At 39.5% G+C, this 25,271-nt stretch overlaps 1 protein-coding gene across 12 annotated transcripts in view, besides 1 other annotated feature; it reads left to right on the top strand.

The window, feature by feature from the left end:
- Positions 1-25,271, top strand: part of ADAMTSL3 (ADAMTS like 3) — a 385,720-nt gene that overhangs the window by 213,106 nt on the left and 147,343 nt on the right. For all 12 annotated transcript variants that reach the window (XM_011521823.3, XM_017022434.2, XM_011521822.3 and 9 more), the window contains 4 exons: positions 3,574-3,731; positions 17,873-17,984; positions 22,881-23,019; positions 24,101-24,151. In XM_011521823.3, coding sequence (XP_011520125.1) covers positions 3,574-3,731; positions 17,873-17,984; positions 22,881-23,019; positions 24,101-24,151 — 460 coding nt within the window. The remainder of the gene's footprint in view (positions 1-3,573; positions 3,732-17,872; positions 17,985-22,880; positions 23,020-24,100; positions 24,152-25,271) is intronic.
- Positions 5,005-5,054: an enhancer, noted in NCBI's record as "active region_9975". NCBI's record gives its function as "activates an Ori minimal core promoter by ATAC-STARR-seq in GM12878 lymphoblastoid cells {active_cell/tissue: GM12878}" and the evidence as "EXISTENCE:reporter gene assay evidence [ECO:0000049][PMID:35858748]".

The raw sequence follows: 25,271 nt of genomic DNA on the forward strand, positions 1-25,271 counted from the left end.
AATGTCAGTCTCTTTGCTGTGAAGTGAATTTTAATTACAGAATATCCATCTTACATACTGCCTAGAGGTGTTTGTTTAGATCCTGAATTTCCAGTCCTGTCCCAAGCCTGGCCACAGCATTATGGGGAGCACACAGCCCCAAATTTTCCAGGAGTGCATCCCTTCAAAAATGGAAGCAATAAGCAGATCCCTGCAAAACAGATTTTATTGTAGCAAAACCTTAGCATTAAATGTGTTTAACTAGCAGTAAACTTAAGAAGCCAAGAGGTCATAAACCAAAAACCTCCAATTCAGTTGGAAGAATATTTTCCCTTTAAGCCCTATCTGAGGACCATATATAGAGATGTATAAATATAAGCATGGATGCAGTACCTGATGACCAGTCAAAGGAAATTGACATGAATGAAATTAGCATATGCTATAGAAATACAGCTCTACTGTACATATAAGTTTGATGTATTTATAACTATGTTAGCCATGCTAAACACTCATTCCACATTTACCTGACAGTACTTTCATGGCCTTTAGAATTTAGGGAGACCTCTTGGGGATGGTTACCATGACCCTGCCTTTTTTGAAAGAAGCCTGAACTGATACTTCTCAGTGCAGATCCTTCAACTAGAAGCAATTAGAAGCATTCATCATTTTCTAGGCATAATTTCTTTTACAAATAACTAGTAGTGGATTAAAATATTTAAAGGCATCACTAGAGACCTGAGTTGTGAAGATTTTGGGATACAAGAAAGTCTTGATTTCTAATTTTTACTCTTTTTGAGACTACCTATCATATCTTCCTCAACACTTCCCTCCCTCCCCTCAATATTAAGTCTGGAGAGGAGAAAGAAGTTGGGCCGTGGGCAGCAGGAAAGAAGGCTCACACTCTCTTCCCTTAATTCTGGTGGGGATGCTTATAGGCTTCCTGGGGTCGCCTACACACTAACCACCTTGCTGCGGAAACCACAGAGGGTCAGTGAAACCTCTGAGAACCGAAGGGCTTGTGCATGCAGCTCTCACTAGCTATGAATCACACATTGTGAACAACATGGGGCTACAGTAAATATAGGGAAATGGTGGAAATTAATAAAAACTTAAAGGTATCCATAAGTCAATACATCATCTGAATTGTTGATTGAAACACCACAAACTCCTTTTTTTGTCATTTATTTTTAAGAGGCACCAGCACAAAGAAGCAAGTTTGCCACCAATAAAAATGACAACTTTTAAAGAACTGCATCGGCCTCCACCTTGCTGTGGATTGGGCACAGTGGCTTTGTTAATCCAGATTATCAGAATTGTTTGCATCCATAAACTCCACCTTCACCAAATCACTTCACCAGTCTTTCTTCACCCACCTTTGACTCTGCTTACCCATTTACACAATTGAGGTCAAAACACCTGCTTTCTGCCTCCTAGATAGGCAACCAGTGTTTGTGCTTTAGAGAACTGGAAGCCTTTTGAAATACTCAAATTAAAAATATTTTACAATAAGCGTACCATTTAGTGGAGAAGCAGAGTGGTTTGGGTAATTTATGTGAACTTGAAAATTGTTTTTGCTACTTGTGTTTTTATATCCATGTCACTGAGACTCTTAGACACCATTAAAATAGTGGCTAGATTCTGTATTAAAAACAAAGTATCAAAACCAAGTTAACAAAAATGCTGGCCTATGGTTTAGGGAATGGATATCGTAGCAACTGGTCCTCCCTTCCTCCCAGATCACCTTCCCAGATTTTTACACCCCTTGCCCCAATTCTGCATCCCGATCTGCAACTTGGAACGCTGTGGTCCAGAAGGTTAGCACAATGGTAAAGCAATTACTACTCCAACACAGCCGCGGAATCCATTGCACGCTACTTGAATTTAATCAAGTCATTTCAGGCTAAATCAGTGTCTAGAAACTTGTATTTTGCATGCCTTCTGTGAGGATGTGTTATGTTCCACTGAACTTTGCATCTTAATATTGCCTTAATGCTCTTATTGCTTATCATTTTTTTTTCTCATGGACTTTAGAGACATCCATTGTAGGGCCCATTTACTATCTCTAGTTCCCCATTTCATTTTTACTGACAACTCACTTTATAACACTCAGTTTTATATCTTCATTGGAACTAGGAAATGAATTTAATCTCACACTTTCCAAAAATCTATTGCGGTCATGGAGATCAGGGCCAAAGTGGTTGGGGTTTTGTATGCCTGCAAGTAGCCAGCATTATTCTTCGACCACTAATGACTCCTCCAGATCAAGTAGCTCATGTCCAGCCTTTGAATTTTCCCAGAAAAGTTCCCAGCCTGCCTGTCAGGGATAATCAGGGATGTCTCCTAAGGCCTGTTATGCAGTCTGTCCAGGGCACTTGAATTCCTGCAGCTGCTCCAGTGACAGAGAAAAATCCAGCAAATGAAAACAACCAAAGCCCAGCAGGCTATGGATGGAAGCTCCCTAATGCTGGACGATTTTGTTGCATTTTATCAGCTTTCCATTTTTGACACTCAACGGAGTTTTGGTTCTTCTGTGTTCTTTGTTTGAGATTTTTAAAGACTGGTATGATATCATTGAATCAAGTGTGGGTTTTAGAATAGAGCTGGACCTGAGAGATTGTCTGCTCTGACTCCTCATTTTAGGTATGAGGCAATGAAAACCCAAGGCAGAAAGTTAGAGAAAAATACGGGGCCAGAAACGCAGGTGCCCCAGAACCTAGCTGTATATACATTTTTTGTTGCCTCTCTCAACATGAAACCAGATCTACTAAGTGTGGTGACACTTAGAAAATAAAAGAAAGAAAAGAAAGAGGGAGGAAAGACAGAAATTTAAATAAAGTACAAATGTTTTTTTGTTTAAACTGTGATAAGCAAACTTTTTTTCTGTAGGAAATCTTAAAAGCACTTTTGTTCATGTGAAAGCAAATTCACATAAAGGGGTTTCATGCACAAGGGAGGTCTTTGTGGCAATGGAGTGGTTCTGTATTTTGATTGTGGTGGTGGGTGATAAAATGGCATTGAACTATATGCACATATTGTACCAGTGTCAATTTCCTGGTTTTGATATTCAACTATACTTTTGTAACATGTAAACATTAGACAAAAGGGAATGAAGGTTACAAAGGACCTCTCTATACTATTTTTGCAACTTCCTGTTAATCTGAAATTATTTCAAAATCAAAAGTTTTGTTTGATAAAAAGCAAATTTGAAATTTGCTGTGATTTTTGTCTAAAAGAGTAGGCATAAGATCTTTTGAACAAGTAATAAAATGAGTGAACATAGCTTTACTTTGAGTATTAGCTAAATCATGAAAACATATAAAGAAAGAAAAGTTTTCTCTTTCCCCTTATGCTAGAAATGGCTCCAAATATTTGAGTAGAACTATTTGGGCCTGCCACCCTTGTTAGCTCCTTTTGTTACGGGCAATTAAAAATCTGATATATCTATTCCACCAATATCAATGAATGTTTGTAAACTGAGTGGCTATTTTGACATTGTTTTGATATCATATACTGACATTGTATTTGCTAAAATGTCTTTTGTAATAAAATACCTTTAAGATTGTTTCTTATTTGAATCATATATTTTAATTTTAGTTATTGAATCAAAAACACTTCAAGGAAGCAAAGGAGAACACAGCTTTAACAGCCCCGGCGTCTTTCTCGTAGAAAACACAACAGTGGAATTTCAGAGGGGCTCCGAGAGGCAAACTTTTAAGATTCCAGGACCTCTGATGGCTGATTTCATCTTCAAGGTAGGATGATCCTCTTCATAAACTTCATGTACCTGAATCCCAGAACATCTTGATTTTTAAAACAATGAGTTTGTTTAGCAAGAGGTCATCAATCATTGTTTTTTATACAGAGCATGTGTCATCAATATTTCCATCTTGGCAGTCCATTCTTAAAAATTGTTCAGCACTCTTAAATTTCTGCTCCTAACCCTAACAGTTAAAAAACAAACTTCACTTTTATGGGGGAAGGATTGATTCTGTATTTATAATCTCTGGTTGCTTTGTTCAGTTTGTTTGTTGGTTTAAGAAACAGGGTCTCCCTGTGTTGCTCAGGCTGCTGCAGTGGCTATTCACAGCTGCAGTCATAGCCTTGAATTCCTGGGCCCAAGTGATCCTTCTGCCTCAACCTCCCAAGTAGCTGTGTTCAGTTTTAGATAGAGTTTGGTGAAAACGGCCGATGGTTAAATGCACCATATCCTAAACCAGTATTGTGCCGCTGCATGTCTTCTTGCAAAGGAGAGCAGAGACAACAGCGGCTCATTCCTTAGCCTCCTTTAAGATAGTTATCCTTAAGGCGTCTTTACTTCGACCTTCAGCCCTTAGAACATGCAGTCTTGCGGTGGGCTGATTCAAGATCAGGATTTGCTTCCCCAGATGTTCTATGACAGATACTTGTCACAAGATACCTTCAGAAGAACTCTTCTTCTCTGGAACCATGAGCCTGTGTCCCCTCTCTGGATACTGCTGGGGCATCTTCCCTCATTCAGAGGACATGAAGTATAGTGGCCAATATATTTCCAAGGTGACACAGTTTGAAACTCTTCTGATAAATTTGAAAATGCCTAAGAAATGAAAAAGATAGTTCAGTGTGTGGTTTTGCCGTATCCTGTTTCAGAAACCCATTCCAAAATGTAAATGGAAGCTAGGAAATAGCCCCAATTACCAGTTATATTTTTCTGTATGAAAAAAACCCTTTAGCTTTAAAAAGCTGTCTGTGTTCTACATATTAATTTGTCACGGAATGTTTCACTGAGACATCAGTTGTGTCAGCAGAGGAACATGCACGGAGGTAGATTAGAGTTGCTGACTCATCCCAATCCCTGAGATACAAATTCAGCCTGCAGTGGGACTGGCCAAGCGTTGGCCTGCACAGTGTATTGTTTTGTTTCTGAAACTTTGGATTTTGAATAATCAACTCTTAAAAATCAAGAGATTTTTACATCAAAAGATCAGGGTTTGTTTTTTTTTTCTTTCTGCTTCTCTGTAAAAATGGGAAGAGCTTGCATTTTACAATAGCAATAAGTGACTGTAACTGAGGAACAGCTGCCTTCCAGTCTCGGGTCTGCCGTGGTCCACACCACTGTGTATTGTGTCCCTAACACTAAAGGCGTAAGTGGTTGGTTGCCATTCATCCTGATCTGGGCATTTATAGCATCTGCCTAGCCTCCACAGACATTTATGTTTCTGACTTCTGTGTCATATCCTTAAAGCATTGATCCAATAGTCTTCTTAGACAGTCATATTATGAAAGGTTTTGGGGAAGCCATAATTACCTTTTTTTTTAAAGTCTCTCTCTGGTCTATTGTTATGACATAAATTCTATGCTTTCCTTGCCCTCCTTAGGGCCTTCCTATGTGATTCTCAAGTAGAAAATATACACCACACACACACACACACACACACACACACAGAGTTTTTGTTCTCTTTTAATTACTACTCAGAGAATCTGTATTCTTCTCAAGTCAACTTGGAGGTCCTTGACTGAATAGGAGACATTAATACAATGATGAAACGAGGAAAGTACCCACAAAGATTAGTATTTCAAGATATTGTTTGGTTACAGTGTCAGCATCAGTAGATCTTAATAATATATTGTTTATTGACACCATTTATAAAAACACACATAAGCTGCATATTTCTATGAGTTTGTATGTACACACACGTATATGTATATGTATATTTTTAAAAATAATTTGGAAGGATACATTTCAAAATGGAAACACTGAAAACAACAGTGACTATTTTAGAGGGGATAACATTTTGTAATATCTAATTCTTAAAATAATGTTTAAAAGGAAGAATGTGGCTGGGCGTGGTGGCTCATGCCTGTAATCCCAGCACTTAGGGAGGCCAAGGCGGGTGGATCACCTGAGGTCAGGAGTTCTAGACCAGCCTGTCCAACATGATGAAACCTCATCTCTACTAAAAATACAAAAATAGCCGGACGTGGTGGCACGCACCTGTAATCCCAGCCACTCAGGGGGCTGAGGCAGGAGAATTACTCCAACCCAGGAGGCAGAGGTTGCAGTGAGCCAAGATCGCACCACTGCATTCCAGCCTGGGCAACAGAGCAAGACTCCATCTCAAAAAAATAGTAATTAAAAAAATAAATAATAAAAAGTAAATGGAAGAATGAATTCTTTTGAAGTGGCCAAGTCAAGTAGTTGAATTTGAATTCATTTTTATACCATTGGTTTTTTTTGTTTGTTTGTTTTTGAGATAGGGTCTTGCTCTGTCACCCAGGCCAAGTACAGGCTGCAAGTAATCCTCTGGCCTCAGCCTCCCAACTACCTGGAACTACAGGCACACAACCCCACAGCCACCTAATTATTAATTTTTTTGTAGAGACAGAGTCTCACTATGTTACCCAGGCTGGCCTTGAACTCCTGGGCTCAAGCAACGCTCCTGCCTCAGCCTCCTAAAGAGCTGGGATTAGAGGTGTGAGCCACCATGGCTGGCCACATACTTTTATTATAAAACTCATTTTCCTCATCAAACAGTGGTAATACACTTTTGCAAATGTTAATGTGCATTTCTCTTTTGCCATTCTCTGTACTTCACCATCTGCTTTGTCAGCAGAGCTGTTTGCCCTGCGGATTTGACAGCAGTGGTATGGCAGGTGAGTGATTAGCAGGAGTGCAAGAGAAAGCATTCATGCTCATCTTTTCATGATTAAAGTAGGGTTATTATTATTTTTAGCTTAGTCTTTTGTTTTGACAGCCACCCTTAGTGGAGAGAGATGAAGATTTTCCAAATTGATTTAGTCCCCATAACATTTCCAGGGCCAAGCCCGGGGTCCTAACCCATAGCACATCTTCTATAACATGGAGAGGATGCTCCTTTCTCCAGTAAGGCTGCACCTCGGTCTAGTGTCCTCAGGAGGATGTGCACCACAGGGCATGTCCAGCCAGGATGTGGAAAGCCTTCTCCCTCTCCTGGCGCCAGGACAAAGGAAGCGGGCAGCGAGCCATGAAATTCATGATGGTGGTTGCTCTCCAGGGCAGGGAGGCTTTCAGGGAAAGCCAAAAGCAGAAAAGGAGCTTTTGCTCCCATCCCACGCAGAGCTCCCAGAGGAAAGCGCCTCATAGGGATCCCACCTCCATCAGCAGCAACCCAGAGAAGCCACATGAGAGTGAAAGTGGAATTAGTGCCATGAAATGTTTAGTCACAGGTTGAGTCTCCCCGGAGTCTCCTTCAGTTCCTGAGTGGTAATGGAAGACATCTAGAAAATTTAGTGTACTCCTGACTGGCCAGGGGGTGACATGGTGCTGGCAAAATGACCCTTTAGCGGAGAGGTGTAGGTAGAGAGACTATGGGTCCTATTTTGTTCAGAAAAGGCCCAGTTTGTGCCTGTTACCCCTGCTTAATTGTTAGTAGCTCCTCCTTTCACTCTCAGAGCCATCCTGGCATGAACAATAAAGCCGATGGTCTCCCTAGATGCAGAGCTCTAAAGCCAGCCAAGGATTGGATAGGGGTCCCAGCCACACCACCGAGAACGTGCAGCAAGACAAGAATGACAGTGTCGAGGGACTAGGGGAAAGATAGTGTGCTCACTGGCAGCAATTAGGGCCCATCTGAGGATATCATGCATGGATTTGAGTAAGTTGCTGTGTATTTGCCCTGCACTGAAAGTAAAAGGCACTGGTCCAGGTGTCACATGTGAACAAGACGATGTGATCTCCGGAAGCCCGGTAGGCGTTTGTCTTTCTTGTGGACCTTCTCAGCGAGGAAACCTCAGAAACTCCACAGTAGACCTTTTACCACCTCTCATCGACAAGAATTGGGTCACGTGCCCACTCTATACCATCCACCACTGTGTTCATCTGGGTCCTCTAAGAATCAAATGCCAAGGCAGGATGAGAAGTGAAAGAAATTTATTCAGGAAATGCCTGTGAGAAAAAAGAGGGAGAGAAAGCAGGGTGATGCTGAGAGAGCCGTCAGTTTGCACTGAAAATCTGACCATGAGTGAAGGAGAGAGGGAAGGAAGGAAGGTTGGATACAAGCATATTAAATGCAGTAGGTTCTAGGAGAATTCAGCAAAGCTGGAGAGGAAACCCTGAGCCAATGTCATTCATCATAGGACTCCAGTGTCTCCCAAGAATGGCTCTGCCTTCAGTACCCTTGCTGTGCTTAGTCACTGGCTAGGAGCATCCCATGGGAAGCTTGACCCAGAACTGGGGCTGTTGGCCAGTGACACCCTTTGCAGTTGTGTATCTGAGCAGAACACTCATGGGTCCTGCCACTAGCAAGGCAAATGTGACCATGGTGATTCACGTAGAACAATCAGGATGTGCGGTGGCTCACGCCTGTAATACCAGCACTTTGGGAGGCTGAGGCAGGCAGATCATGAGATCAGGAGATCAAGACCATCCTGGCCAACATGGTGAAACCCCATCTCTACTAAAAATACAAAAATTAGCTGGGCATGGTGGCACGCGCCTGTAATCCCAGCTACTTGGGAGGCTGAGGCAGGAGAATCACTTGAACCCGGGAAGTGGAGGTTGCAGTGAGCCGAGATTGCACAGCCGCACTCTGGCCGGGTGACAGAGCGAGACTTCATCTCAAAAAATAAAATAAAATAAAATAAATAAAAAAAAGAACAATCAGGATGTATGTGTAAGACACAGGAGGAAGGAATGAACAAGAACAAAATTGAGTGTCTGTAGACTGGAAAGGAGAAATGGATGCTGGTAGGCAATGAAATGTGTCTACTACACTAAGGATTTCTCTTTCTGTAACACATCTGGCTTAATGCCTTTTCTCTCTTTTTTTCTTTTCTTTTCTTATTTTTCTTTTCGGTGGTAATGGAAAAGACTTAGAAACCATTTATGTTTCTCTTAGGCTTATTATTTTAGCCAATTTTGAAATTTACATTTTTCTACGGAAGTATCCAATTCATCCATTTTTCAAACTTAGCTCTTCAAATGTAATCATGGTATTCCCTTATTGTTAAAAACAATCTCCTCTTTACCTATAACAATGTCTCTTTCATTCCTAAACTCGTTTATTGGTTCCTTGCGTAATTGTTGTTTTGTTCAGACCATCCAAACATTGTCTCTGAGACATCTAACAACTACATTTTTGTTTTGTTCGTTAACTCAGAGTTTTTTTTACATTTCTATTTATATAAATTTTTATTTACTTCTTTTATCTTTGTATGGGTTTATTTTGGTATTATATTTTCAGCTGCTAGAGCTGAATTCTTAATTCATTCTATTTTCATTTTTTTTCTCCATTAAATGTATTTAGGGCTATCAGTTTGCCTATACAGAAGTTCTCAATTTTACTGTAATGTAGTTTATCAGCCTTTAACTTTATACTTAGTGCTGTTTGTATCCTGGTTGAGAAATCTGCCTCATCCAGAATCATGAAGAAATTCTTCTTTTTGTTGTTGTTTGTTTGTGGGTTTTTGTTTTGTTTTGTTTTGTTTTGAGATGCAGTCTTGCTCTGTTGCCCAGGCTGGGGTTCGGTGGCACAATCATGACTCACTGCAGCTTTGACCTCCTGGGCTCAAGTGATTCTCTCACCTCAGCCTTCCAAGTAGTTGAGACTACATGTGCACACCACCATGCCTGGCTATTTATTCATTTATTTATTTGAGTCTCTCTCTGTCGCCCAGACTGGAGTGCAGTGGCACGATCTCACCTCACTGCAACCTCCACCTCATGGGTTCAAGCTATTCTCCTGCCTCAGCCTCCTGTGTAACTGGGATTATAGGTGTATGCCACCACACCCAGCAAGTTTTCTGTATTTTTAGTAGAGACAGGGTTTCACCCTATTGGCCAGGCTGGTCTTGAACTCCTGACCTCAAGTGATCCACCCACATCAGCCGCCCAAACTGCTGGGATTACAGGTGTGAGCCACTGTGCCCAGCCAAATTAAACAAAAAAAATTTTTTTTTTGTAGTAACAGGATCCAGCTGTGTTGCCCAGGCTGGTCTCAAACTCCTGAGCTCAAGCGATTCTCCCACCTTGGTCTCCCAAAGTCCTGGGAATACATGCCCATCCCCTAAGATATTCTTCTATGTTTGTGTTTGGAAGCCTTAATATTTTTCTTTTCACACCAAAGGCTATAATCCATCTAGAAATTATTTTGTATATATTGTGAGGTATAATAGAATCAATATTTTTTCTATATGACTGTTTAATTGACCTAGAGCCATTAGGTGAAGAATGATCCATTGCCTATTTCTCTGAAGTCTGGTAATAACAATGTATTTATGGACCCTACTTTGTTTCATTGATCTGTTTGTTTATTTGTGCCAATACCATTGTGAGATATCTACTGTAGCATTAAAATAAGTCTTGATATCTGGAAATGTAAGTTTCAGCTTTGTTCTTGCAGATTATCTTTGCTTTTCTTGACACTGCATTTTTATATCATTGAAATCAGCTTGTCTGTTTTTAAAAATCTGCTGGATTTTGATTGGAATTGCATTGGATCTGTATGTCAATTTAAGGAAAATTGACATTTTCCAATACTAAGTCTTTTAAGTCATAAATATGCCATATCCATACATTTTTTAGTTCTTTTAAAATTTCTCTCAATAATGTTCATAATTTTTACTCTATGTCATTAATATCTTTTATTACATTTATTTTCAGGTGTTGGTTATTTTGATGTTACTATAAATGGTATTTTTTTCAGTTTCTATTTGTTTCTGGGGTGTGGAAATATTGATTTTTGTGTATTGACATTATATTCTTACTATATTCATGTATTAATACTAATAGTTTGTGAATTCTTTTGGATTGTATACGTACGCAATTGTGACATCTGCAAATAATGAAGATGGCAGCTGTCCTTGTTTTGCATCTCACTTCAGGAGCAAAGTTCCCTGTAATTCACCATTGTATATGATGTTTACTATAAAATTTTTTATAGATATTTTATTTGGTGAAAGAATTTTTTCTTTTTCTAGTTTGCTTCATTATGTACAAGCATAGAGCTTTATCAGATGCATTTTCTGCATCTTTAGAGATGATCACATGGTTTTCTCCTTTTTCCTTTTTAATGTAATAAATGACATTGATTTTTCAAATGTTAAACCAACTGTATCTTCCTGTGATAAACCTACTTAGTCATTATTCTTTTCAATTAGAATTTATTGTTAGTTGCCGGGCGTGGTGGCTCACCCCTGTAATCCCAACATTTTTGGAGGCCAAGGCAGGCGGATCACGAGGTCAGGAGATTGAGACCAGCCTGGCTAACACGGTGAAACTCTGTCTCTACTAAAATACAAAAAATTAGCCGGGTGTGGTGGCATGTGCCTGTAGTCCCAGCTACTTGGGAGGCTGAGGCAGATGAATTGCTTCAACCTGAAAGGTAGAGGTTGCAGTGGGCCAAGATTGCGCCACTGCACTCCAGCCTGGGTGACAGAGTGAGACGCCATTTCAAAAAAAAAAAATAGAATTCATTGTTAATATTAATTATTTTATTGTTTGTTAAAAGGTGTATCCTTTTATATATCACTAGATGTGATTTTAAATTATTTCACTTAAGGTTTTTGTTGTTGTTTTGGTACCTATGTGAAGGAAAGGGTTTGCTTGTTTGTTTGTTTTCTTGGAATGCCTTTTTCAGGTCTTGACATTTTATTCTGCTTTTATAAAACAAGTTTAGAAGTGTTTCCTCTTATTCTCTGCAATAGTTTGCAAACGTTTGATGCCTTTTTTTTTCTTTAAATGTTTGGCAGTGTGCACCAGGAAATGTTTAGAATTATGCATTTAATGTCTTTGAAAGATACAGATTCTTTAGATTTTCTTATTTCTTATGTCCGTTTTGTTTCAATGAATTTGTCTATTTCAACTAACTTTTAAAAAGCTATTGGCATACTTTTCATAGCATTCTCTTATTATTTGTTCACTTTCTGAACAACCTGTAGTATGTCCTCTTTCTCATTCCTGTCATTGACTATTTGTGCCTACTCTTCTCCTTGCTCAGTCACATCAGAGGGTTATCAATTTTATTAGACATTTCGCAGAAACAACTTTTGGGTTCATGACTGTTTTACTCTAGTTTTCTTTCCATATCATTAATATCTGCCCCTATCTTTATTATGTCCACTCTTACTTCTTTAGATCCCATAGGCTGTTTTTTTCCTAAACTTCTTGAGATGGATTATGAAATCATTAATTTTCATCTTTTCTCCCTAAAACATGTACATTTAAGTCTATAAATTTCTCTCAATGCATGCCTTATATTTAATTTAATAATTTTGATATGAAATGTTTTCCTTCATCATTCAGTTAAATTACTTTGTAAGTTTCATAATTATATATTCTTTGACTTGTAGATTATTTAGAAGTATAACATCCAACCATGAGGGAATTTTCCAGTAATCTTTTTAAAATTTATTTTTATAGCTTAATTCTACTGTGGTCAAAGAACATACTCCATATTATTTCAATATTTCAAAATTTGTAAAACTTGGTTTGTAGCTCAGAATATAACAAAGTTTGGGAGAATGTGGTGTGTAGTCTTCTGTTGTTGGATACAATGTTCTATGTATGTCAATTAGGTCACGTTTAGTAATTGTGTTATTCAAAATTATAACCTTCCTGATTTTTGTCTGCTTATTCTATCATGAGAGATGTGCTAAAACTACCCCGTGACTGTGCATTGTGCCTTCTGTATTTTGAGGCTAGGTTGGTAAGTATGTTCACATTTAGAATCATTGCATCTTCCTAGTGAATTGACCCTTCTGTTATTATAAAACGTTTCTTTCAGCACTTTGAGGATATCTCCCCATTGTCTTCTGACTTCAGTTTATTCTGTGAAGAAGTCAGCTATCAGTCTTCTTTTTGTTCCTTAGAAAGTAATTTGTCCTTTTTCTTCATCTGCTTTTAAGTGTGTTCCCTTTGTTTTGGGTTTTCATCAACTGGGCTATGGTGTAATTAGTGCCTTTCTTCAGCTTGAGGTCCAGGTGTCTCATGAATCTGTGGCTTGAGATCCACCATCAGTTTTGACAGATTCTCATTTATTATCTCTTCAGATTAACTTCTGTCCCAAGCTCTTTGTTATGTATTTATATGTAATTATACCTTTACCTGTATCCAATTTGTCTAATTTCCACTTTCTTTTTATCTGTCATTTTACTGATCCTTTGCTCAGGTGTGTCTGATTCAGGGATCAGCAGATTACGACCAGCAGGCCATCACTGTTTTTGTAAATAAAGTTTTATCAGAACAGCCACCCCTATCTGTTTACACATTGTCAATGGCTACTTTTGCACTATACTAGCAGAATTGAATAGTTGCAACAGAAACCATGTAGCCTGAAAACCTAAAATGTTTACTATCTGGCTCTTTATAAAATACTTGCCAAAGTCTATTTTAATCCACTTTTAAGTTTGTCCATTGAGATATTGATTTAAATTATTGCATCTTTTATTCCTAGAATTTCCATTTTAGTTATAGCTTGTTTCCAGTGAAATTCCCCATCTTATAATTTGATTTCTTGAACATTTTAATCTTGTTCCAAGTTCTCTGAAAAACAGAGCCCGAGGCAAAGTGTTCCAATACTTATGTTATAATCATAGGAATAGCATAAGGTGTTGCTAGGCCCCTCCTGCGGGGAAACAAGACTGAAGCCAAGGCCAGGGTTGCAGGAGGTGGTAATGGTGTACTTAAGTTTTTATATTTTCATCAGTTAATACCAATATCTGGATTTCCTGTCATTATGTTTATAATATCTATTTTTTTTCACTTTTTTGGGTTGTCATTAAATTTTGTTTTTTCTATTCTTGGTTATTTTTAAAGTTTGTGCTGTATATTGTGGAAGAAAGGTTGTGGATATAATTTGAGATTGTTGCAGATTTATTGATACTCTGTTAAAATCCCCTTTAAAAATTATTATCGGATTATTTTTGCTTCTAGATCTTCAGTCTAACACTCTTCCAACTGGATTATTTTAGCTGTCTTATTTTTGCTTCTAGAAGACAGCTAGGTTAGCAACCAGTGATCTTTATCCAACAAAGAATTGAAATAACTTGAACCAGGGCTTTATTCCCTTTGAAGGTTGTCGTGTTTCCAGTTTACTTTATTCCTATGATAGAACTTTCTAGGGTCCTGGGTTGGGAACCTGGGGTGTTTACCAACACCTGACACCTTGGAAGGCCTTGAGCTCTAGTGTTCGCTTTCCACTACGTGAGGCTGATGACAGATCTGTCCAGTTTCTCAGCTGCTCAGCCACCACTTGCAGACTGGAAAATGCCTTGAGCAAAAAGGTAGAGCCAAATGTCATGCCAAATTTGCTCACATTTCTGAGTTTCTTTTGTGTCTTTGGTCTTAGTCCTGCAAATCCTCACTGGCATGGTAGTTTTCTGATGCACTAAAATACACTAAAAATATTTTATGGGCCAGGCGCTTTGGCTCATGCCTGTCATCCCAGCACTTTGGGAGGCTGAGGCAGGTGGATCACCTGCTGTCAGGAGTTTGAGACCAGCCTAGCTGACATGGAGAAACTGCATCTCTACTAAAAATACAAAAACTAGCTAGGCATGATAGTGTGCGCCTGTAATCACAGCTACTCAGGAGGCTGAGGCAAGAGAATCCCTTGAACCTGGGAGGCGAAGGTTGCAGTGAGCTGAGATCGCACCACTGTTCTCCAGCCTGAGTAACAGAGCGAGACTCCCTCTCAAAAAAAGAAAAAAAAAGGCCGGGCGCGATGGCTCACGCCTGTAATCCCAGCACTTTGGGAAGCGGAGGTGGGCGGATCATGAGATCAGGAGATCGAGACCATCCTGGCTAACATAGTGGAACCCTATCTCTACTAAAAAAAATACAAAAAATTAGCCAGGCATGGTGGCGGGCACCTGTAGTCTCAGCTACTTGGGAGGCTGAGACAGGAGAATGGTGTGAACCCGGGAGGCAGAGCTTGTAGTGAGCCGAGATCGCGCCACTGCACTCCAGCCTGGGCGACAGAGCGAGACTCTGTGTCAAAAAAAGAAAGAAAGAAAGAAAAAAGACAGAAAAAGAAAAAGGAAAATTTTAGGCAGCATTTTTATTTATTCTCATTGGGGAGATTCATCAGAAACAAGCAGTCCTGCCACAGCCAGAAACAAAGCTCCTTAGCAGTGTATCCTATCTCTGTAATACCTGTGCTGTCTCCACTCCGTTACCATAACCCTGCCTCTCCTCCCCTACACACACATCTTGTGTCTGGAATTTTTATGTCATTTTGTAATTAAGCACATAAAACCACTATTTTAAAATCAGTCCTTGTTTAGATTCTCTCATAAGCTTTACTGATTTATTTAATCATTATTGCTTCTTGCATCTCACCACTTCTGTATTTATATTAGTTCTTAGGTACATTCTTTAGTAGTTTTTTTTCTTTTTTTCCAGTGAATATCTCTAAGTGTTAAAGTTTCACAATCTTTTTGTGTCGGAAAATATATTTATTTCATTGATTAATGATTGGTCATCTGATTATAGGTGAATAGCTGATAACTGATTACTGATTAATAACTTGGTTATAGAATTCTAGATCCAATATTCTTGTCCCTCACCACTTTGAGGACTTGACTTTGTTTTCTTGAATCCAATATTGCTTGTGAGAAATGTGATGTTAATCTGATTTTTCACATTTTTCTAGGTAATCATATTTTTGTATGTGATAACTTTTAGGATTTTTGTTTATGCTTTTTGTTTTATTTTTTAAAATGTCTAGAACTCAATGAGCATTTTGAAACAGAGACTTCTGTCTTTCTTAAAATCTAGGAAATTCTAAGCAATTATATCATTAAATATTGTCTCTTCATCATTCTATTTGTCTATTATCTCTATTTTTTAAAGAAATATAGCAGATTTATTGATATTCCTTATTAAAATTCCCTTTAAAAATTAAACTGTATTATTTTGATAAGCTGTTTCTTCCACTAAATATAGCATTTCTCATATGAAATATCTTTTATAATACTATTTCTATTTTATTTTATTTTATTTTATTTTATTTTATTTTATTTTATTTTTTGAGATGCAGTCTCACTCTGTTGCCCAGGCTGGAGTGCAATGGTGTGATCTCGGCTCATTGCAACCTCTGCCTCCCGGGTTCAAGCAATTCTCCTGCCTCAGCTTCCCGAGTAGCTGGGATTACAGGCACGTGCCACCACACCCAGCTAATTTTTGTATTTTTAGTGGAGCCAGGGTTTCACCATGTTGGCCAGGCTGGTCTTGAGCTCCTGACCTCAAGGGACCTGCCTGCCTCAGCTTCCCAAAGTGCTGGGATTACAGGCATCAGCCACCACGCCTGGCCCACCATATTTATTTTTATTGTTAAAATTTTTTATCCCAATTTTATTTCTTTTTTTTTTTTCAATTGCATTTTTTAGAGATTTTTCTTTTTCATGTTTTTTTGAGACAGAGTCTTGCTTTGTTTCCCAGACTGGAGTGCAGTGGCGTGATCATGGCTCACTGTAGCCTCAAACTCCTGGACTCAAGGTGTCTTCCTGCCTCAGCATCCCCAGTAGCTATAGCTGGGACTACAGGTGCATGCCACCACACCTGGCTAATTTTAAACTTTTTCTTTTGGAGAGATAGGATCTTGCTATGTTGACCAGACTGATTTCAAACTTCTGGCCTCAAGTGATCCTCCTGCCTTGAACTCCCAAAGTGCTAGGATTACAGGTGTGAGCCACTGTGCCTGGCCTGGTTTTTCTAACACATTAATTTTTTCTTTTACTTTTTTTTTTTTAGATGGAGTTTCACTTTTGTTGCCCCGGCTGGAGTGCAATGGTGCGATCTCAGCTCACTGCAACCTCCGCCTCCCGGGTTCGAGCTATTCTCCTGCCTCAGCCTCCTGAGTAGCTGGGACTACAGGCACATGCCACCACACCCAGCTAATTTTTGTATTTTTTAGTAGAGACCAGGTTTGCCATGTTGGCCAGGCTGGTCTCAAACTCCTGACCTCAGATGATCTACCCACCTCAGCCTCCTAAAGTGCTGGGATTATAGGCGTGAGCCACTGTGCCTGGCCACATTAATCTTTTCTTAGCATTTTTAATTGACAAAAATTGTACATATTTATAGTGTATAACATGATATTTTGAAATATGTGTATATTGTGGAATGGCTAGATGGAACTAATTAACATATATGTTACCTCATTGGTGCCCTATTTCCTTTTTTTTTTTTTTTTTTTTTTGAGACAGTGGTTCAAGACATTCTCCCACCTCAGCCTCCTGAGTAGCTGGGACTACAAGCATGTGGCACCATGCTGGGCTAATTTTTGTATTTTTAATAGAGATGGGGTTTCACCATGTTGGCAAGGCTGGTCTCGAACTCCTGACCTCAAGTGATCTACCTGCCTTGACCTCCCAAAGTGCCGAGATTACAGGTGTGAGCCACCGTGCCTGGCCCCCATTTCCTTTTAATTAGATACTAGACTGTTTAAACACCATATATTTGTACACTTAAGTTGAGTTCTTGCAGTTGTGCTTCTAGAAGAATTTTTCAGAAGGATGTGCTTAAATATATTATTATTAAAAATGTAAGAGTCTCCACTATGTGCTATATTGTGAGCAAACCCAAATCAATTCTCAATCTGTGTCGTCAAAATTAAAATCCAATGTTTCAGGAAGAAAGACAGTGTGAAACGAACAAACAAAAAAGTCTACCTACATTTTTTGTGAATCCATTCACAGGCATGGAATTATCTGGAAAAATGACTCCAGGGAGATTTGCAGAAGATCACCTGAGCCCCCATTTATGACAAATCTTAATGAAATGTCATCACATCTTAAACTTATTGGACTCTTGCCCCATAGTTTTTCTAATGGATGGGTGGTTGTCTACATACATGAAGAACATTTATCTTATTTTGAAAGGTGTGGAAAGCACTAGCTCCTTGTTTGCACGTGTGTTCTCACAGTTCTCTTTGTCCAGACCAGGTACACTGCAGCCAAAGACAGCGTGGTTCAGTTCTTCTTTTACCAGCCCATCAGTCATCAGTGGAGACAAACTGACTTCTTTCCCTGCACTGTGACGTGTGGAGGAGGTGAGGCCCAGGCTTTGTTCATGAATATTTAGAGCTCAGAGTTAGATAAATTAGACATTTACATTTTTGAAGCTGATTTTAAAATTGGTGTGGTGATTAGAGATGTCTCATCACACAGCACCTTACTCAGCAGCCTGAATGCAATCGTGTTAATGAAGAAGATGCATTTGCCTTTATTCTTGAAGACAGGTGCAAAACTGGATTTGGAAAATACCTTTTACTTTTAGCCAAAAAAAAAAAACAAAACAAAACTGTAAACAAACTTGTTTTCATGTGTTACTGCATTTCTCTTCTTGATTGCCCTTAAAGTACGTATTATTTTTAATTTTCTATGAAAAATCTGAGAAGCAGAAAGATGGAGTGACTTGCCCAGCCTGGTTGAGTCAATGGGTGTGTTGGTTCTAACGTTAGATTTACAACTTTTCTCTCCTCAGGTGCAAGAGTATAAGCTTATTAAAAAGAGAAAGGGTCCCTACTAAGTGTTAAGGGGAAAGCCCTGCTTATTGTCTGCTTAGTTCAAGGTCTTTTTTTTTTTTGAGTCTCGCTCTGTCGCCCAGGCTGGAGTGCCGTGGCCAAATCTCGGCTCGCTGCAACCTCCGCCTCCCAGGTTTAAGCGATTCTCATGCCTCAGCCTCCTGAGTAGCTGGGATTACAGGTGCCCACCACCATGCCTGGCTAATTTTTGTATTTTTAGTAAAGACAGGTTTCACCACGTTGGCCAGGCTGGTCTTGAACTCCCAACCTCAGGTGATCTACCTACCTTGGTCTCCCAAAGTGCTGGGATTACAGGCATGAGCCACTGTGCCCAGCCTTTTTCAAGGTTTTCATAGGCAGTTGAGGAAGGTTTGGGGACAAGTGTAATCCAGGGCTCCACACACACGCTACAAAAGCAGCATCTTTCATGCTCCGGTGGAAGATAATTGTCCATTTGATATGGAGAACTGGCAACTCTCTGGAGCAAATTAGGAGGCAACTAGAGCTACTGTCAAAATAATTCTCTTTTTCTGAACTGACCTTTTAAATCAAAGAATAAATGCATGCAACCCAGGAACCATGACTTAGTAGAATAGGGATTTATGTTGAAGCTTCCCCTTAGAGTACCAGGCAGTGGTACTATGTGTTTACCATGTGTCAAGCCAAGGGTTAGATGTTCATAATCACATTTATTCTTGACGAAAACCCTAAGGAAGGTCTCTTTTATTCCTGTCTTATGCATGAACAAACTGACACTTAGAAAGTGTAAAGAGCATACAGTAGTATCTTGTTCAGCTAGTAAACAGTGCAGCTAGGATCTGGTGCCAGGTCTGCTTGATGTCAGAGTCATGCTCTAAATGACTTTGCCCTTTGCCTCCCCTAAACCTCCTACTACACCTGGGACCAGATCAGGGTATACAGGCTCAGGTATGGTCTTGTTTGAAGAGCTAGAATAAATCCTTCTCCAGCCCAGCCTAGCTCCACATCTTTTCAATCCTTGAAGCCTACCGCATATCAATTTACTTAGAGTCAGAAACTGGCCTTTCTCCTTTAAACTACAGGTATATGAAGGAGGGCTCTTCAGTCAGTGAATATGCTGTGAATATGCAGGCAGATGTCTCTCTTCTGGAATTTAGGCTCCCCCTAAAACAACAGGGCAGGCACTTTTTTGGGAAGCACTGGGCAGCCCAGGCCCAAGAAGAAGTTTATGTCCCTGGAAATGGAAGAGAAGACTGAATAGTGCCACAGAAAGAAAGTAAAAGTGAATCTCCCCAGTTCGCCAGCTAGTTCTTCCCAGGGCCAGGGTTGAGGCAATGGACCACTTGATTATGATCCTGCAGCAGTGATTCTCACAGTGGGCTTCCTGGACCTGCAGCATCAGCATCTCCTGGGAACTAACTAGACATGCAGATTCTCAGGCCCCACCACAGACCTACTGAGTCAGAAACCCCAGAGTGTGGCTCATCCTCCAGGAGATGATGGTACACACTCCACTTTGAGAACCATTGCCTCTTTAAGCCAGTGTCTTTGGATAGCAGCTGGAGCCATATTGCCATCACTATTTTTGCCATATCTGTGTTATTCCTGCACTGTTATTTACTAAAGGATTTTTCTTTAAGGGGGCATTTATTCAACTTAAATAAACATATTAACAAAAAGAATTTAGTAGTACTACCGTAAGTGGAAATCTATCCCTTGTCACAAATAGAGTACAATCACAAAATTAATACAGTGAAAACAAACCAGTGGAGTAAGTCATCTTCAAGTTTCTACCAGCTCTGACATTCATTCAGGTTATTTTCAATTCCTCCAGAATTTTCTTGAATGTTACAAGCATTTTTATGAGGCAAAGGTTCCTTTACATCTTTGAGTCACTTATGACTCTTTGGGTACTCTTACTCTGCAGAAAAACAAACATTTCTCTCTCTCCTTTTTGTTTGTTTGTTTGTTTTAGAGGCAGGTCTCACCAAGTTGCCCAGGCTAGACTCAAACTCCTGGGCTCAAGCGATCCTCCAGCCTCAGCTTCCCGAGTAGCTGGAACTACAGGCATGTGCCACCATGCCTGGCTAATTTTTAAAGTATTTTGTAGAGATGGCATCTCACTATGTTGCCCAGGCTGGTCTCCAACTGGTGGGCCCAAGCCATCCTCCCACTCCAGCCTCTCGAGTAGCTGGGAGTGCAGGCGTGTGCCACCATGCTTGGCTCAAACATCTATTTTTTTTTAAATTTTATTTCTTTGTTCTTACACATAGTCATTCAGAGAGACGTTCACATTTGGATCCATAAGATAAAAGACACTTACTACTCCAGAGGAGACATTTTATAGTGGGATTCAGCTTAGTCCAGTTGATCAAATTCTTGGGAAGCAAATAGGTGTTTCTCCTACTTGGGTGCCCATGGAAAGACATAGTCCTGCTGGAACTATAAATGTGCATGAGCACTTAGCAGTGAGATCGTCTCCAAAGACAGCAGTGGATGTAAGAACAGAAGGGAGATTTTAGGCTGCTTTTGGGGTTCCTGCCGTTTTCTATACACTGGCAGAATTTCAATACATTTGTTCAAGATATAGAAAGGCAATCTGCCTCATTTCTTTTGCTTTTTGCTATTTCTAAACTGTGATAAAACAAAAGAGGAAAATTAATTGTCTCTCCTCAAATTATAAACACCTGTATATGCCCTGTTTTCATTTAGAAGTCTATTTCTATTTAGAACAAAGATTTTTTTTTTCTGACTCAAGGAGCTGTAATCTCATTTTGTACTTGTTTTGGGGAAAATAAAACACACACATAAAACCCACAAGGAAAACATTACCAAAATTTAATTATATTAGTAATCAAATCTGTGTGATGTGTGTGAATGGAATTTCAGAGTTTTTTGGATAATCAAGAAAATTAGTTCATCGGTCTCTAAGGTACCGGGGGTACTTGAATGGACTTTCCTAGTCCCGTCTGTAATCGTCGATGTGAGACACTTGAGATCAATTTGGAGAAGGTACCTAGATTGCCATTGCCATCTGATATCGTTGACTTTCTGGCAGATATTGGCACCCAAGTAACATTTTATTGACTCCATTTGGATTTTCATTCTTGCGGTTTCGACCTTGCTTTTTATAATGCATACCAGTCCGTCCTTCTGCACTCAGCTTACATCCAAGCCATGTCTTGTAGAAAGCTGTCTAGTGGTTTATAAAATCAGATTCCTCTCGACAATCAGGACTTTAAATGTATTTTTAGACCTTTAGACCAACTGGCAGAGGCAGAGTGCTTGGCTTTGGGCATTTTTTCTTTCGTAAAGAGCTCATTCTAGTTTTGAAAAATTACCTTTTTTTGAAAAAGTTTAACTTTAACAAGACACTTATGTGGTGACAGGAAACTTGGAATCAGATCTTTCAGGAAATAGAAGCATCATTTTGTGACTTGCTTTTTAAATTTATAGCACTCATCTATTTGCAAAGTTCACTTTCCTCAGAAACTCTACAAATTAGATTTAATAGAATCAGGAATAAGTCTTCATTCCTTCCGTTTGAAGGCTTGTGAGATGAGGGCTGGGGAGTGACATACGGGGATGGATTTTGTTCCTTTCTGTATAGACAATGCTTAATTCCCCATTTGGAAAGCTTATTGGTATTGCAGGTGCCTGTGGCATCCCAGGGGAGCAGAGGAGTAAAATGCGGTACTGTGTATGCATATCATAAAATGTTATGAAAGAAATATTCAACCCAGCAACCACCCAGCGCAAGGGTAGTTCTCAAAAACATGATGTTGAGTGAAAAAAGTGGAAAACGGAACAAGATTTAAAACACATTATCATTTATTAAGTTAAAAACAGATACACAAAAAAACAACCTTACGTAAGACGGTTGCATATTTCAGGACGTATCAACAACAAATCGAAATAGGTGTGTTGCGGGGATTGGAATGGGAGTGTCAATAAGGGAAGAAGAGAGATTATACGGAAATGAGAGAAGGGCCTTGCACAGTGCCGTGGTGACAATGAGGAGAAAAGACAATGAACCCAGGAGAATGAATAACTCTCCTGCACCTGGGCTGGAAACAGTTCTTAAGAGGAGACTATTGTCATTTTTTAGTTCGAAGTGCTGAGAGTACCACAGTTGGTATTAATTGTCGTTCTCAATTTTGGCCACGCATTTTAGTCATCTGAGAAGAACCTGAGAATCTTTTTAAAAAGATACTGTTTTCCTGGATCCCAGCCACAGGACTTCTGACTTAATTGGACCATGAAGGAACCTGGGCATTAGAGTATATTAAAAGCTCCCATGTGGTTCTGTTATAGAGCCAGGGTTGAGAACCACTGAGTTAAGTTTCTTAAAGAGGAAAAAAAAAAGTGTGTGGCAAGTGATAACTCTGCCAAGTAAAAATGAAACGGATGCAATATTCAGACTTGCCTTTTCTAACACTTTAGGTTATCAGCTCAATTCTGCTGAATGTGTGGATATCCGCTTGAAGAGGGTAGTTCCTGACCATTATTGTCACTACTACCCTGAAAATGTAAAACCAAAACCAAAACTGAAGGAATGCAGCATGGATCCCTGCCCATCAAGGTTTGTGTCATTGTCCACACCCTTTTTACTTCAAAAAGAAACAAATCAGCTTCAACTGAGACTGATCAATCTTTGCAGGGCAATACATTTCCATTTCCTGGCTTTGTCTACTGGCGGCAGGTGCCTACATTCACATTTGTAACTATGGTGCATAGGAATTAGGACACATTCATTAGGAATGAAAGTCTAGCTTTCTCTTGTCGTGGGCTATGTGTTCCTAAGTTTTTTTATAATGAACCCTTTTGAACAGCTCCTGCTCTCTTCATCCAAGTAAAATGTCTAGTCCATCTGCCAATCATAAATATCTTTCACTCACCACTTTAGCTTTTAAACTGGGTCACTCATTATCATCTTTTGGCTTTTGAAGTATTCATATTAAATTCAGTATAAATAATGCATTGTGCAAGGAAGTAAAAGTTTTAATGCCAAAGTATAAAAAGCTATGTGTAAACTATCCTATTGCATAATTTAGTACCTGCTGACTTGGATTGCCTGGGGAAGTTTCCTGGCTTACTACAATACCTTAAAATAACAGAACAATATCAAGTCCCAGAATCCTCCAGATATCTGCCAGCTGGCTTAGGAAGAAGTGTGCAAGTGGAAAAGGAAGCGTTCTCAGTGGATTTCATTTCCTGTTACTGAACTGCACATTTCCTGTAAGCCTGGTTGAACATAATTATTAATAGAGACCTTTCAAAGGACAAATTCTGTGAAATAAAGTGGTTTTCTGAAGAGCCTACTAATAGGACAGTGTGTTAATATCACTAATATATTAAGAGAGTAATGATTATAAAAAGGAATAAATTTATTGAAATTGCAAGATACTTTTCTCCTTTGATTAATATACTGCTAGTTTAGTTTTCTACATTTTCAAATAGAACTGGGGAATTTGTGTCGTAGATATTCTTGACAACTAAAGAGATGGTGGCTGAATTTTTGGGAATGGTTGATAACACTTGATATTTTTAGTTTCCAATTTGGAAGAGCTCTGTCTCTTGGGATGTCAAATATTATATTCGTCAATTAATGAATGTGTTAATTTATTATAGAAATGATATTCTCACAATGATTTCATTTGTAGTGATGGATTTAAAGAGATAATGCCCTATGACCACTTCCAACCTCTTCCTCGGTGAGTTATATGTTTCCTTTTCCTTTTTGCAATTTAAGTAGTTTGCAAGGAACTGTAGCATCTGTAGCAATAGCCTAAAATGTATGAGGGTTAGATATTAAATACTTTATAGAGCTAAGGGAAAACAGACTTCTACTCAATAATAGGAAAAATCTTTCTAAGAATTAGATGGAATAGACTGCCTCAAAAGATGATGTTTCCCATCGCTAGAGCTGTCAAGCATATCTTGGACAACTGAGTATTATAGCAGGAGCTCAAGTGTTGCAATTAATCAGAAATTTTAATCCCCTTTTATACCGAGATGAGTAGTATGGTCCTTCCTGACTCTGAGGTTCTGTGATTCTCTAATAATATTGTCCATTAGTATTTAACAGTTTAGAGGCAGTTTGAAGATGCAGCCACACTGTATGTTTTAATTGATTTAATTTTCACAATGGTCTTATGAAGGGTAAATAGGGAAGGTATATTATTCCCAGTTGACAGAAACCCCGGATGTGAGGAGCTAAGTACCTTGTGACAAGAATTTGTGTGTGGCAGTTAAGAATAAAGTCTTGGCCGGGCGTGGTGGCACATGCCTGTAATCCCAGCACTTTGGGAGGCTAAGGCAGGCGGATCACTTGAGGTCAGGAGTTCAAGACCAGCCTGGCCAACATGGCGAAACCCCATCTCTACTAAAACGTAGAAAAATTAGCCGGGCTTGGTGGCAGGTGCCTGTAATCCCAGCTACTTGAGAGGCTGAAGCAGGAGAATAGCTTGAACCCAGGAGGCAGAGGTTGCAGTGAGCCAAGATCTTGCCACTGCACTCCAGCCTGGGTGACAGAAAGAGACTCCATCTTAAAAAAAAAACTAAATTAATTAAAATTTAAAAAAGGCTGGGCACAGTGGCTCATGCCTGTAATCCCAGCACTTTGGGATGCTGAGGCAGGCGGATCACGAGGTCAGGAGTTCTAGATTAGCCTGGCCAACATTGTGAAACCCTGTCTATACTAAAAATACAAAAATTAGCCGGGCGTGGTGGCGCATGCCTGTAATCCCAGCTACTAGGGAGGCTGAGGCAGGAGAATTGCTTGAACCCGGGAGGCAGAGGTTGCAGTGAGCCAAGATTGCGCCATTGCACTCC

The sequence above is a fragment of the Homo sapiens genome, chromosome 15, assembly GCF_000001405.40.
Source record: "Homo sapiens chromosome 15, GRCh38.p14 Primary Assembly".
Classification (NCBI taxonomy): domain Eukaryota; kingdom Metazoa; phylum Chordata; class Mammalia; order Primates; family Hominidae; genus Homo; species Homo sapiens.